Here is a 14,253-nt window from a genome sequence, read left to right on the forward strand (position 1 = left end):
GCACGCGCATGCTGCACGCGGGTAACTGCTTGGCTGGCCTGTAGCGGCTTGGCTTGGCTTTGCGTTCTTTGCTTGGCTTGGTGTTGGTCGCTTGGCCTGGTGTTCCTCCTTGGATTGACGTTTCCTCCTTGGATTGGCGTTTCCTCTCTCGCGTTCCCTTGCTAGGCTTGACCTTTTCTCTGCTGGGTTTGGCATTCCCTTGGGTGGGCTGGGTGTTTTCTTGGGGGGGGGGGGGTTGGCCCTTCCTCGGGTGGGCGTGGGCTTTCCCCGGGTGGGTGTGGGTTTTCCCTGGGTGGGGTGGGTTGGGCTTACCTGCTGGGGTTGGCAGGTTTTGGCTGGGATTGACTTTTCTCTTCAAACAGATTGGAAACCCGGAGTTACCTGCTAGTTGGTGAAACTGGTTGGTAGACGTGATCTGCTCGCTACTACCGGCCTCCCCAGGCTGTTAAAAGCAGATGGTAGCTGAGGTTGATTCAATGCCGGCTGCCTCTTCTGTGAAGAAGCCATTTGTTCTCAGGAGCAAGATGGGCAAGTGGTGCCGCCACTGCTTCCCCTGCTGCAGGGGGAGCGGCAAGAGCAACGTGGGCACTTCTGGAGACCAGGACGACTCCACTATGAAGACACTCAGGAGCAAGATGGGCAAGTGGTGCTGCCACTGCTTCCCCTGCTGCAGGGGGAGCGGCAAGAGCAACGTGGGTGCTTGGGGAGACTACGACGACAGCGCCTTCGTGGAGCCGAGATACCACGTCCGTCGAGAAGATCTGGACAAGCTCCACAGAGCTGCCTGGTGGGGTAAAGTCGCCAGAAAGGATCTGATCGTCATGCTCAGGGACACTGACGTGAACAAGCAGGACAAGCAAAAGAGGTAACCAGGCCTGGGCTGGGAGGAGGTGGGAGGTCGGGGGATGATGGGGACATACCCTCCTGGCGGGGGAGGAGGGGGACCTGGCTTTCTCACCTCCGCAGGCCTCACACCACCCTGGTTGTGGAAACCTCAGAGAGGTCAGGGCACAGGCCCCTTTATGAACAGCAACACACACAAAAAAAACTTTAGCTGATTTCCAATCAAATTATAATTTCCCTCGTAGAACACTAATAGACTGTTTTAAAGTGATTTAACTTGCAAAATTAATTAAGTCAATGCAGCAGATTATTTTTAATCTACAGATTTTAAAACAATGTTCTATACATTATAGAAAAGTGTATATTGAGAACTAAGAATGAAGCCCCATAACACATCAACTTCAGGGCTAAATATTCTTCAAATAAAATCCAGTATGGATTTTATATCAATGTACCCTATGTAAATACGTTCTTTACTGAGGAACCTTAGAAGGAAACTGAAATGGGAAGATGGTTCCTGTGCTTGAATAGGAAGATTGAATTTTCTTAAGATGTGAGCTTTTTGGCTGGGCGCGGTGGCTCATGCCTGTAATCCCAGCACTTTGGGAGGCGGGCGGATCACGAGGTCAGGAGATCGAGACCATCCTGGCTAACACGGTGAAACCCTGTCTCTACTAAAAATTATAAAAAAAATTAGCCGGGCACGGTGGCAGGTGCCTGTAGTCCCAGCTACTCAGGAGGCTGAGGCAGGAGAATGGCGTGAACTCGGGAGGCGGAGCTTGCAGTGAGCCAAGATAGTGCCACCGCACTCCAGCCTGGGAGACAGAGCGAGATTCCGTCTCAAAAAAAAAAAAAAAAAAAAAAGATGTGAGCTTTTTCTATTTATCACTTTTACATAAGCCAAATAAAAATAGCAAAGTTTTAGCGTTTTTAAATTACACATGCTGTCTTTTATTATTGTGATAAATTAATTTTTTGTAACAGAATGGAAAAAGGCTTGCTTTTCCAGATATCAAAATGTGCATGTGTTATTTATTTCCACAAATTGTTTACTAACAGCTGAAAAGACATCAATGAATAGAACAGAATAGGAAATTTAGAAATACCCAAATATATGTAAGAATTTAGCACTTGATAATGGTGATGTTTTGTATTATTTAAAAAAGATGGATTGTTCATAATTCATTTTTGGAGAAAACTAGCTAGATTTTTATGTCACAAAAATAAGAGTATAGATTAAAAATTTTAAACATACAAAAGGAGAAACATACCAGAAAAAATATAAATGCCTATTTATATACGCAGATATATATACATATATATACATATATATACACATATATACATATATATACATATGTATATATACATATATATACATATGTATATATACATATATATACATATGTATATATACATATATATGTGTGTGTATATATATACATATATATGTGTGTGTGTGTGTATATATATATATATATATATATATACTTTTTTTTTTGGTGGAGTCTCACTCTGTAGCCCAAGCTGGAGTGCAGTGGTGTGATCTCGGCTCACTGCAACCTCTGCCTCCTAGGTTCAAGCAATTCTCTGCTTCAGCCTACTGAGTAGCTGGGATTACAGGCGCCTGCCACCATGCCTGGCTAATTGTTTTGTATTTTTACTAGAGATGGGGTTTCACCATCTTGGCCAGGCAGGTCTTGAACTCCTGTCCTCGTGATCCACCCACTTTGGCCTCCCCAAGTGCTGGGGTTACAGGCGTGAGCCACCGTGCCTGGTGTATATATGCAGACATAATAAAATAAGCTCATTTTAAAATTGGGCAAAGTACTTTTTTTGCATATCTACCAGTGACCTATGCACATAGGAAAATACAGTGTTCCTGGTAGAAGAAGGAATTTAAGTTAGAAGAGGAATGAAATACTGCTTTCTATTTAAGTTAGAAGAGGAATGAAAGGCCGGGTGCAGTGGCTTACGCCTGTTATCCCAGCACTTTAGGAGGCTGAGGCGGTGGATCATGAAGTCAGGAGTTTGAGACCAGCCTGGCCAGTGTGGTGAAATCCCATCTCTACTAAAAATACAAAAAATTAGCTGGGCATGGTGGCACGCACCTGTAATCCCAGCTACTCAGGAGGCTGAAGCAAGAGAATTGCTTGAACCAGGGAGGTGGAGGTTGCAGTGAGCCGAGATCGCGCCACTACATTCCAGCCTGAGTGATAGAGTGAGACTCCATCTCAAAAAAAAAAGAAAAAAAAAAAAAAAAGGAATGAAATACTGTTTTCTATCCACAAAGTTTGTGAGGATGAAGAACAGTGGTACTTATGTAGTTGTTTAAAGTTTAAGTTGCTGCAGCTTTTCAAACAGACACTTTAGTGGTAAGAACTACATTTTAAAAATGTGTATGCTTTTTACTTATCAATTCCATTATACTGAAATATCTTTACGAAATAGATGTGTTTTTCTTAGTATTGCTTAAAATAGCAGTGTATTTAGAAGAACCCATATAAAGATTTTATGAACAAATTTCAGTGCATCCATAGGATGGAATAATATGTAACTATTGAGGGTGTCAGTAGATACAGAGATATGTCGACGTGCAAAGATGTACTTTGCTATATCAAGTGAGAAAAAAATCAGTTTGTTACACATATACACGAACAGAATCTGCTCGTGTTAGCTGAAAATCTGTAGAAAATATGATCAAACTTGTTTCTGGGGATTTGTAAGTGAAGTTTTTCCCTTTCTCTTATCTGTGATTTCTGCAATGAACATCTGAAGTTGTAGTTAAGGTTCATTACTAATGCAATAATCCTTGGGAAGAGAAGGAATATGCTTCTTGCATAGATGCAAATAATTCCTCACATTCTATTATTTATTTTTATTTCTGTGGTTGGCTATTTTCTGTGAACTTTTACCCTCTTCAGAAGAAGAGGGGTCGTGTTTACCTGTTCCTGTAGATTTTATTATATATACATTTTATTCCATAATTATCTTTTCATTATATATAGATTAACATGTAAAAAGTATGAATTAATCATTTTAGTTGAGTTATATATTTATGAAAATTAAAATAGCAAATATAAATGATTATTGCTATTGCAAATGTATTGCGCTACTCTATAGGAGTTTTCTTTAAAAATATTGAACTCCCAAGCTGTGTTCATCCATTTTTCCTATCCATTTAGTCATCAGACATAAGCCAGACACCTATTATGTGGCAGGCATATTCTACTATCTCTCAGGATCCTTCCGTCTTTGAAAACTACATGTTTTCCTGCTGGGCTTGAGCAAGCTGAGAGATTTAAAATTGGGGCATTAGGACTTAATCTCAATTGAAGCTTTTCCTCCCTCCTTTCAAACAAAAGCATTTCTGGAGGTAGAAAATAGTAATAGATAACCTTTAACTGCCCTTTTGAAAATTTATGTCTTGGGGAAAAGACTGTTTTAGTTGTTTTAAGAACTAAAATGTGGTACATAAACAGCATGGAATAATATGCAGCCATAAAAGAAGGAACGAGAGCATGTCCTTTGCAGGGACATGGATGGTGTTGAAAGCCATTATCCTTAGCAAACTAACATAGGAAGAGAAAACCAAATACAGCACGTTCTCAATTACAGGTGGGAGCTAAATGGTGAGAACACACAGATACCTAGAGGGAAGGAACACACACTGGGGCCTATCAGAGGGTGGAGGGTGGGAAGAGGGAAAGAAGCAGGAAATAGAACGAACGGGTACTGGGCTTAACACCTGGGTAATGAAATAATCTGTACAACCAACCCCCTTGGTGCACATTTACCTATGTAACAAACCTGCACATCCGGCACATGTATCCCTGAATGTAAAAGTTGAAAAAAGCTCCACAAATAGTTTCATAAATCCATTTTAAAACAACAAAATTTATAACAGTCTTAAATCCTAATATGAATGATTGGAAATATCTGATGTACATACATTGTATAAATCTAAGTGTTGACAAAAATGAGCCCATGCTATTCATTTGAATTCCAAGTTTTCTTTGACTTAAAGTTTATTGAAAACCAAAGTAAGAATTGGTTTATTTTAGAAATTTGTTTTTGTTTTCACCTCTGCTCTCTTATTCCATAGTTCTTTTAGGAACTAAAATTTATCTAAATGCTGGTCATCTGACTGGAACCGCCCCAGACCTGTTGTAACATATTCTACTTAATGTAAGACACCAGGGATTGTATGATGCCCCATTATTTTATGCCTCAATAAGAGAATTATTTAAATGCCGCAAATTATAGTAAATCATGAATTGTAAGTGGTATTTCAGTGGACACAACATGGAGACAATGATCATCTCAGAATCACTAAAATACAATGTTAGCTGTAATATTTAAAACACACCTGAAAGTGCAGGTATAATTGTATCATCTCAATTCAAATGTTGTCTTTAGTGGTATTAGTAAAAATTAAAATATCTAACAATTATTGAGCTGTTATTTGTGTTAGGAACTATTCTATATCTTTTGTGCAGAGTCTCATTTAAGCATTACAGTGGTTTCCCGTAAGAAAGCTACTATTTTCATTCCTATTTTATTGATGAGGAAACTGAGACCCCAAAAGGCTAAGCAACAGCCAGGAAGTGACAGAGCTTCAAGTAGGATTCCAGCTCAAGTTGAATGTCATCCAAGGGCTATGCTCTTTGTATTCATATAGGATGCTCTTTCATTAATACAGCGAGTAAAGAGAGATAATAAATAGTGTGCTTTTTTCATGGGAAAGTTAAATGTTTGTTTTGAAGGCAGAGTAATAGCAGGCTATTCAGTGTTTGCAATTACATGAATCATTGCTATGGCTGTAGCTAGTGCACTACAATTTCCTAAAAAGTCTTGTCACTCTCATAGGACTGCTCTACATCTGGCCTCTGCCAATGGGAATTCAGGAGTAGTAAAACTCCTGCTGGACAGACGATGTCAACTTAATGTCCTTGACAACAAAAAGAGGACAGCTCTGACAAAGGTATGCAGTAGCCAACTATATCAGCATGAGGTGGGTTTGATTTCAATACATAGCATAAAAATGAGTTTTCTCCTTTAAATATAACTTAGGTGGTGAAAGCTGTGGAATGTTATTTTGAATTCCTAGGATTTGTAATTTGTTTTTGGTCTAATACTGACAGGCCGTACAATGCCAGGAAGATGAATGTGCGTTAATGTTGCTGGAACATGGCACTGATCCAAACATTCCAGATGAGTATGGAAATACCACTCTACACTACGCTATCTACAATGAAGATAAATTAATGGCCAAAGCACTGCTCTTATACGGTGCTGATATCGAATCAAAAAACAAGGTATAGATCTACCAATTTTATCTTCAAATACTGAAATGCATTCATTTTAACATTGACCTGTGTAAGGGCCAGTCTTCCATATTTGGAAGCTCAAGCATAACCTGAATGAAAATATTTTGAAATGACCTAATTATCTAAGACTTCATTTTAAATATTGTTACTTTCAAAGAAGCATTAGAGGGTACAGTTTTTTTTTTAATGCGCTTGTGGTAAATAATTTTTTTGAAAGCACTGAATTTGTAGAAGGTAATACTTACTATTTTTCAATTTTTCCCTCCTAGGATTTTTTTCCCCTAATGAATGTAAAATGGCAAAATTTGCCCTGAAATAGGTTTTACATGAAAACTCCAAGAAAACTTAAATATGTTTCAATGAATAGAGATCCTGCCCCTTTGGCAAGTTCCTAAGAAACAGTAATAGATACGAAGGTGATGCGCCTGTCAGTGGCAAGGCTTAAGATATTTCTGATTGCTCATGAGGCAGAAGTGGAAAGCGGAAAAGAGAGCAATCAGAAATATCAAGGCCAATTTGGAAATTAGGTAATAGAGGGAAAAGACCATGAAGAGGTTGTGTGTGTGTGTGTGTTGTCGTTGTTGATTGATTTGTTCCCTTTGTATGGTGAGACAAGGTTCTCTTCAATTTTAGAGAATGACAGTTTTCAGTTTGGGAGAGGGAGTTAGTGGGTTGTAAACTGAATAGAGATCAATTTTAGGAGGCCTCTGAGGAACCAGATTGGCAGTGAATAGGTGGTAATGTAAGGGGAAACCCTTGAGCAGAGGGAATATCAAGTAATTAACTGACTTAGTATCCTATTCTGGTAGAAATGGCCAATTAGAGTCTCAGCTCTGCTTTCAAATCTAGAGTGTCTGGATGGGAAGGTGGAAGATAAATAAGTAACAAGATCAAGTTGGATTTTGAGTTGACTAGACCCTGTTCTTCTCTTACCGGGGAAAATCATGTGGTGTTTTCAGCAAATGGGTCTCTCTCCTACTCCTTACTCTTTTTGGCCAAATCTTCAAATGAGAAAGGGAATTGGTCATATGGGTGAGAAATGAGACTGAAGTAATTGTCTGTTGCACTAGCTTTCAGCTAGAATTGTGCATCCCAGTAACCTGAGGAAAATGTTTAAATAATCAACAAGTCTAGGCTTTTTCTGAATATTTTGATACAGTAAGTCTAATAAAGCCTGGATATGTATATTTGAAAATGTTTCCTTGAAGCCAGGCATGGTGGTGCATGGCTGTAGTCCCAGCTGCTAGGGAGGCTGAGGTGGGAGGATTGCTTGAGCTCAGGAGTTCGAGTCTAGCCTGGTCAACATAATGAGACCCTGTCTCTAACAACAACAACAACAACAACAACGACGACGACAACAACAACAATTTTCTCAAAATCTGGATACACTCCTGCTTAAGAACCACTCAATACATAAATGTAATATGTAAATTCTTATGTCTCAGAAACTTAAGGTATCTCTAGAAGAGTTGGGGTTGGATATGTGCTGATTTCTTTAAATCTTTCCAATAACATTAATCTGACTTTTTTTTTTTTTTTTTTTTTTTTTGAGATGGGGTCTCACTCTGTTTCCCAGGCTGGAATGCAGTGGTGTGATCACAGCTCACTGCAGCCTCGACCTCTCCAAGCTCAGATGGTCCTCCAACCTCAGTTTTTTTTATTTTATTTTATTTTTTTTATTTTTTTTTATTTTTCAGTAGAGATGAGGTTTTTGCCATGTTTCTCAGGCTGGTCTTGAACTCCTGGGCTCAAGCGATTCACCCACCTCAGCCTCCCCAAATGCTAGGATTACAGGTGTGAGCCACCATTCCTGACCTAGTCTGACTTTTATCTCTGTGGTTGAGACATTAAAATGAATATTATTGGTAGTATGTATCAGCTTACAGAATAATACCTTTTCCTTTCTACCATCAGTTATTCACTGCCATTCAGAAGGTCTTTAGAAATTTGCTGTGAGTATGGCCCTCTCAGGATTTTGTGTCTCTTTGTTCAGTCATTCAAGTACTTAGGTCAGTAAGTCGTTAAGAGCAGAGTTTTCTCAATTAGAATTGTAGCAAATTCTAAACCATTTTTTGTCAATTGACGCTGTATTATGGACTATCCAGTGTGTCTCTTAAGTATGTAGAGCTTTGGCATAATCAGCATGGCAGTTTTAAACACTAAAAACCATGGAGTTATTAAGAATACAGATAGGAATTCTGTTAATTTAGTTTCAGTAGTCCTATGAACTGATGGTTTAGTTAACAATCTGGGAAAATTAAATACAAATAGATTTTAAATAAATAAATGTTGGAAAATTTTTTCAAATGGGCAGTATGAGTTTTAATAGCAATTTTTGTTGCATGTTGGAGGTTGAACTTTTGGTAAAACATGAAACTAAAGAAATATTTTACATGCAGATTCTTGCTTTATACACAATTTGTCTTAGGGTTGAGGATATAGAGACAAAAGATACAGCCCCTGCCCTCAAGAAGCTTTTTGTTTAGATGGGAAAAATATTATCATCCAATAACACCATGCCAAATGCTGGTTTAGAAGCAAAGAGCCTTGGAAGCAGTAAATGTTTAAAGTGAGTTTTTGAGATGATTAGAGTTACTGTGGTGAGGCAGAGAAGGGGTGTTTCCAAGGGAAGGAGCAGCGTGTGGGAAAGCACAGAAGAGTGAGAAGGAAGTGACTACATTTTATTTACTTCTATGCGTGTAAGTCCATAAGATCTTATATAAAGTTTCCACTTTGGTTGAGGAATATGTACTTTTTTGAATTACATAGGTTTTTGCTTTATATTGTTTTACAGCATGGCCTCACACCACTGCTACTTGGTGTACATGAGCAAAAACAGCAAGTGGTGAAATTTTTAATCAAGAAAAAAGCGAATTTAAATGCACTGGATAGATATGGAAGGTATAGTTCTTTCTTTTAATCTGTGTTCTAGATGGATAGCAGTCACTCAAGTCATAAATATTAAATTAATAAGATTAATGTATACTTACTGGGATGTAGTGATCAGTATCAACACAAATCAGTTAGGTAGAAAAACAATTACTTGGACTGGGCAACATAAAGAACAGTTTTAGTAGGATTCGTCTTCTCATTATATTGACTGATGTTATTTGTTATGTGACGTTTTTGGTTACATGATCTTATGTTAGCTAAAGGCATTTCATATTAATTTTATGAAGTTTGAACTTTAACTTTTAGTTTACTTTATGACTCAGTATTGAACTTCTTAACCCTTTCTAATAGTTTTTAACCTCTGTGTCTTACATGCTTTTCCACTAAATATGCTGTATTAAACATAAATAGGGGTTGAAAATCCTTTTGTCTTTTCAATGACTCTGCTTTAAGTTGCTTTCTTTGAAGAATATTAATGTTAGCTTATTGCTACATGACAATTAATTGCTGTTCCCACATACTGTGGGTTCAACAGCTTTTTTCCTTTTTTATTTCCAGTGTATTTTGGTGTTTTTAGTTTTAATTGGTATGGAGAGAGGGAGTGAAGATAGTTTTAAGTGGATACACTTTTCCTTTAATGAAGGCAAGATGTAGGTGGGTGATAAAGAGAAAAGAGCTAGGCTTTGGATTCACACAAGACTGGGTTAATTCCTAACTTTCTTACTTGCTAGGTGTGTGACCTTGGGGATGTTATTTACCACCAAATGTGTTGTCATGTATGAAAAGTAGGAGAATATATCCTTAAAAGTTGGCTGTGCATAAGTAAGAAAGATAAATGTAGGATTTAATTCAGTGCCTAGCACATGGTTATTGGCACCATTAACTGAAACTCCTATGACTACTATTCTTACCATTGTTAATATTACTGCTTTGAGCATGCAGAGAGCTCTTATTTCTCTTACCCCCTAGCTGATTTTCTATTACAGCATATCTGTCTAGGGAAGCTGTGACAAACTCTTCACTTAAATCTTTGTCCACTTCAGATAAGTGGCCCTAACATTGTTTCTTGCCCATCAAAGGATGTTAAATTAGTAGCTTCTGCTATGCAATACCCCACTGAGATAAGAGGGTTTTTTTTGGTCCCTTCCTTTTAACCTTTGTGGTATTTTACAAAGATGAACACTTGAGCACTCAAGATGCTTATGTCTTTTAGTGCATGTAAATGTTTGATTCTGCACAGACAGGCAAGATGTTACATTGGTAAAGTATATCAAATTAGCTTTAAAAATAACTTTATTACAGTTCCTATCTCTGTCATTTTAGAACTGCTCTCATACTTGCTGTATGTTGTGGATCAGCAAGTATAGTCAGCCTTCTACTTGAGCAAAATATTGATGTATCTTCTCAAGATCTATCTGGACAGACGGCCAGAGAGTATGCTGTTTCTAGTCATCATCATGTGTAAGTGTTCACATTAAAAGGCTAGTTAATGCTGAATTGAGGTTTAAAATAATTATAACAGTTGCATCTTACATATCAGGTGAGATGTCATAGTTTGGTTCAGGTAGTTTTCGCGTGGCAGTGAGTTAGTCCCCTGCATCAGCCAGAAATCAGACAAAAAGCAAGACAAGTTAGAAGTACCAATGGGTGCGGGATTCTTTATCTCAGGACTTTTAAGATCTTTATCCTTAGAGATCCCAGCATTGTTCATTTGATCCAAGTGTAACACCTATGCATGGGATAAAAAATAGTGTCACATCTTTAATTTTTCTGATTAGTTATTTGGGTCTTGAAATGTCCAGTTTAGCGGAAAGTCTTGTACTGTCTTCTGGGCACTATGTCCTACATACTCCTTGAATTTTTCAAGAACCGAAGGGGTTTACTAAATCCAAGGAAGACAGTCCCTTTTATCAAGTCAGAAGGAGGAGGAAAAAAGACATTGCAATCATTCTGTTGTTTCCGTTGATTCTGTTGCTGCTTTGTGGCCACTCAAACTGGTCCTGCTGCCTTAAGATGAATCAGTAGATTCAGATCCCTCAAGTCTTCATGGCGATTCATACAGTGACTTTGATGTTTTTTAATTCCCATACCTATGCTTATATGCTCAGCCATTGTTCCCAGAGCACCAGCCCCCTGCTCTGGCCGCTGGGCATCTTGACTTTATCCGCACACAAAGTGACCAAATTGACCCTTCCCCACATATTCAGAACCTAATGTGGAACCCACATCTTAGCCAGGAATTAGCTGAGACCTTCATGGTAAGAGATCCTTTGAGGCTGTTGTTGGTCTTTTCTCTAGCAGATATTAGGTGGGCTTGTTCTAAAGGGTGAGAGGGGTTCAAATAATGTGGCAGAAAGAGATCAGTGTTTGTTTCTTCTTCTTTGCTACCAGATCTGTACTGTGAGGCACCTTTATATCCTGTATAGAACCTTGGGCAGTAGAAAGTCCCATATGAACCTTCCCCTGAGCAGTGGCTCCCAGCTGTGGTTGGCCCCTTGAGTGATCTGATTTACATGATAATGAAAATTGTCCCAGCTACTTCCATCTCTAGCTCAAGATTTTAAAATATTTTCAAACTCTAGCTCACAGGAAGCCATTGAAGAGAATTCTCAGAATCTCAAGTAGGTTAGTTGGACTTAACAGAGCCAAGCCTTGTCCATGACGCATCACTAATCATGTGTAAAAGTAGGGCTTTGTGCTTGCTTCGGCGGCACATATCCTAAAATTGGAACAATACGGGGAAAGTTAGCGTGGCTTCTGCATAAGGAGGCAGCACAGATCTTTGAAGCATTCCATATTTTGTGCAGTCACTGGAAGGTCATTTGACTATTTGCTGACTAGCTCTAAGGAATTAGTGTGAATCAAAGCAAAATGGGTGCCACCCAAATATTGAAATTGTGATTTCTGCTGCAAAAATAGTCATGTAAGATGGTCTATGAGATGACTTAGACCTGAATAACATGTTCGGTGCAAAATATATTGTTAGTATGTATGTCGAAAATTACAGAATGTCAGCTTGCTACTTCTCCGTGGAAACTAAAATAAATAAAAGTAGACTTTTGGTCTCCCATGTCAGCTGGAATTGAACATCAATATAAAGCATTATCCTAACAGACATCTACTGGCTGAGAGTTTGAGTCTGTAGAGAAGGATCGTTGGTCCAAGTCAGGTCTTAACATCCATTGGTTTTTCTGCCCTTGGTGTGATTGATCAACTCCGTAATAGTGGACAATCACATTATCTACTTTAATGAGATATTTATGAATAAATTTAGTTATAAACTATGACATAGTTGAGATGCCCTGAATTATAAGCCATAAAGAGTAGGACAACTAAGAAGCAAAATTAGGACTTAATAACATTTTCTGAAAACTACAACATTTGCATATTAGAACCTATGAACAAAATACGCATTGGGTTTTATTTGGGATTCCAAGATAATTTTAGTCATAAAGTTTAGGAACAGATTATTCCATTGCTTTACTATTTCTCTGAGCATTTAAAAAATGTTATCTCGTTAAATCTTTATAACAACCTAGTGAAATAAGGCAGCAAAGTCCTCACTTTGTTGAAGAAGACATTGAGCCTAAGAGAAACAAGTTGTCCAAGAACAAATAGCTGTTCATTATGGAGCTAGGACTTATGCAGAGTTGGGACACTTTCTATTATGTCATGCTAATGCTAGCTAATTTACTGGGTCACAGTGCCCTTGATTTATGAGTATTTCACCTTACATTTTTTTCGTCTTTAATTAGAAGCTTAAAGAGAAGTTTGTAGAATGTACTCATAAGTGGATGGGATAATACTATTAAGTTCTGATATTCTGATATTGTTTGAAATACTCTTAATAATTCTGCATTTGGTAAGATTTTTATATCAGTATTAAAATAGTAATTTGGTTTATTACATTTTTATACATAGAATTTGCCAGTTACTTTCTGACTACAAAGAAAAACAGATGCTAAAAATCTCTTCTGAAAACAGCAATCCAGGTAAGACTTGTGATAGTGAATTACTTTAGTCAGTTGTCCCCAACCTTTTTGACACCAGGGACCGGTTTTGTGGAAGACAATTTTTCCATGGGCTGGGGGAAGGTGGGGATGGTTTCAGGATTATTCAATCATGTTACATTTATTGTGCTACTTTATATTATTATCACATTGTAATATATAATGAAATAATTACACAACTTACCATAATGTAGAATCCGTGGAAGCTCTGAACTAATTTTTCTGCAACTGGATGGTCTCATCTGGGGGCAAAGTGAGACAGTGACAGATCATCAGGCATTAGATTCTCATACGAAGCACACAACCTAGATCCCTCAGATGGGCAGTTCACAACAGGTTCATGCTCCAATGAGTATCTAATGCTATCACTGATCTGACTGGAGGCAGAGTACAGGCGGTAATATGAGCCATAGGGAGTGGCTGTAAATACAGATGAAGCTTCCCTGGCTTGCCTGCTGCTCACCTCCTCCTGTGTGGTGTGGTTCATAATAGTCCATGGACTGGTATGAGTGTGTGGCCTGGGAGTTGAGGACCCCTGCTCTGCGTGGTCCTACCATAGATAAAAAAGTAAAAGTAAGGAATTTTTGATCACAAAAGAACACTGAAGCACAAGTCATGTTACATATGCTTGTCCCAATAAGGTCTCACTATTACTGACTTCATTCCTCCTCATTTGAAGTTGGAAAGAGATATATTTACTTTGTTGGAACAAGATGTGTTCTCCTACCTGCTGGTTAATTGTCATCATAACAGTAATTTTGTTAGAACAAGATGCTCTGCTACCATTTGCCAAAAGATTGTCATAATAAATATACAAATTGCCCAACTCTAGGCTCAGCAGATTATAATAAAAGCAGAAAAACGTTTCACACTAACAAAAATGCTAGTATGCTACCTGGTTGTGGACACCTAATACATTATATAGTCCAAACTGTATGAGGACACCTTTAATTTAGCCATCTATTTATCAAAGAGCTTTTGTAAGTTAGGTTTTATAAGTTGCAGGAGACAAAGATGGAATAGATGTAGTTTTGATCTTTAAGGTGCTCATAATAGAGCTGTCTCCATTTCATTTCTGTGCTTTTTCAACAGAATTTACAAAGAAAACATTGCTATTTATGTTTTCACTTGTCCACTTAACATATAACTATCAAATGTCTTTTAGATAGTAACCATTT

At 38.1% G+C, this 14,253-nt stretch overlaps 1 protein-coding gene and 1 pseudogene across 4 annotated transcripts in view; both read left to right on the plus strand.

The window, feature by feature from the left end:
• Nucleotides 1–14,253, plus strand: part of POTEJ (POTE ankyrin domain family member J) — a 46,960-nt gene continuing 32,707 nt past the window's right edge. Inside the window, exons 1-7 of one of the 4 annotated variants that reach the window (XM_017004741.3) lie at nucleotides 1–21; nucleotides 363–865; nucleotides 5,713–5,857; nucleotides 5,988–6,161; nucleotides 8,968–9,074; nucleotides 10,389–10,526; nucleotides 12,987–13,057. In XM_017004741.3, coding sequence (XP_016860230.1) covers nucleotides 456–865; nucleotides 5,713–5,857; nucleotides 5,988–6,161; nucleotides 8,968–9,074; nucleotides 10,389–10,526; nucleotides 12,987–13,057 — 1,045 coding nt within the window. In that variant the 5' untranslated portion in view covers nucleotides 1–21; nucleotides 363–455. Of the gene's footprint in view, nucleotides 22–362; nucleotides 866–5,712; nucleotides 5,858–5,987; nucleotides 6,162–8,967; nucleotides 9,075–10,388; nucleotides 10,527–12,986; nucleotides 13,058–14,253 lie in introns of those variants that run through there. The other 3 variants (NM_001277083.2, XM_017004742.2, XM_017004743.3) reach the window with 3 other exon arrangements.
• Nucleotides 11,761–11,867, plus strand: RNU6-848P (RNA, U6 small nuclear 848, pseudogene; annotated as a pseudogene).

This window comes from Homo sapiens, chromosome 2 (assembly GCF_000001405.40).
Source record: "Homo sapiens chromosome 2, GRCh38.p14 Primary Assembly".
Lineage (NCBI taxonomy): Eukaryota > Metazoa > Chordata > Mammalia > Primates > Hominidae > Homo > Homo sapiens.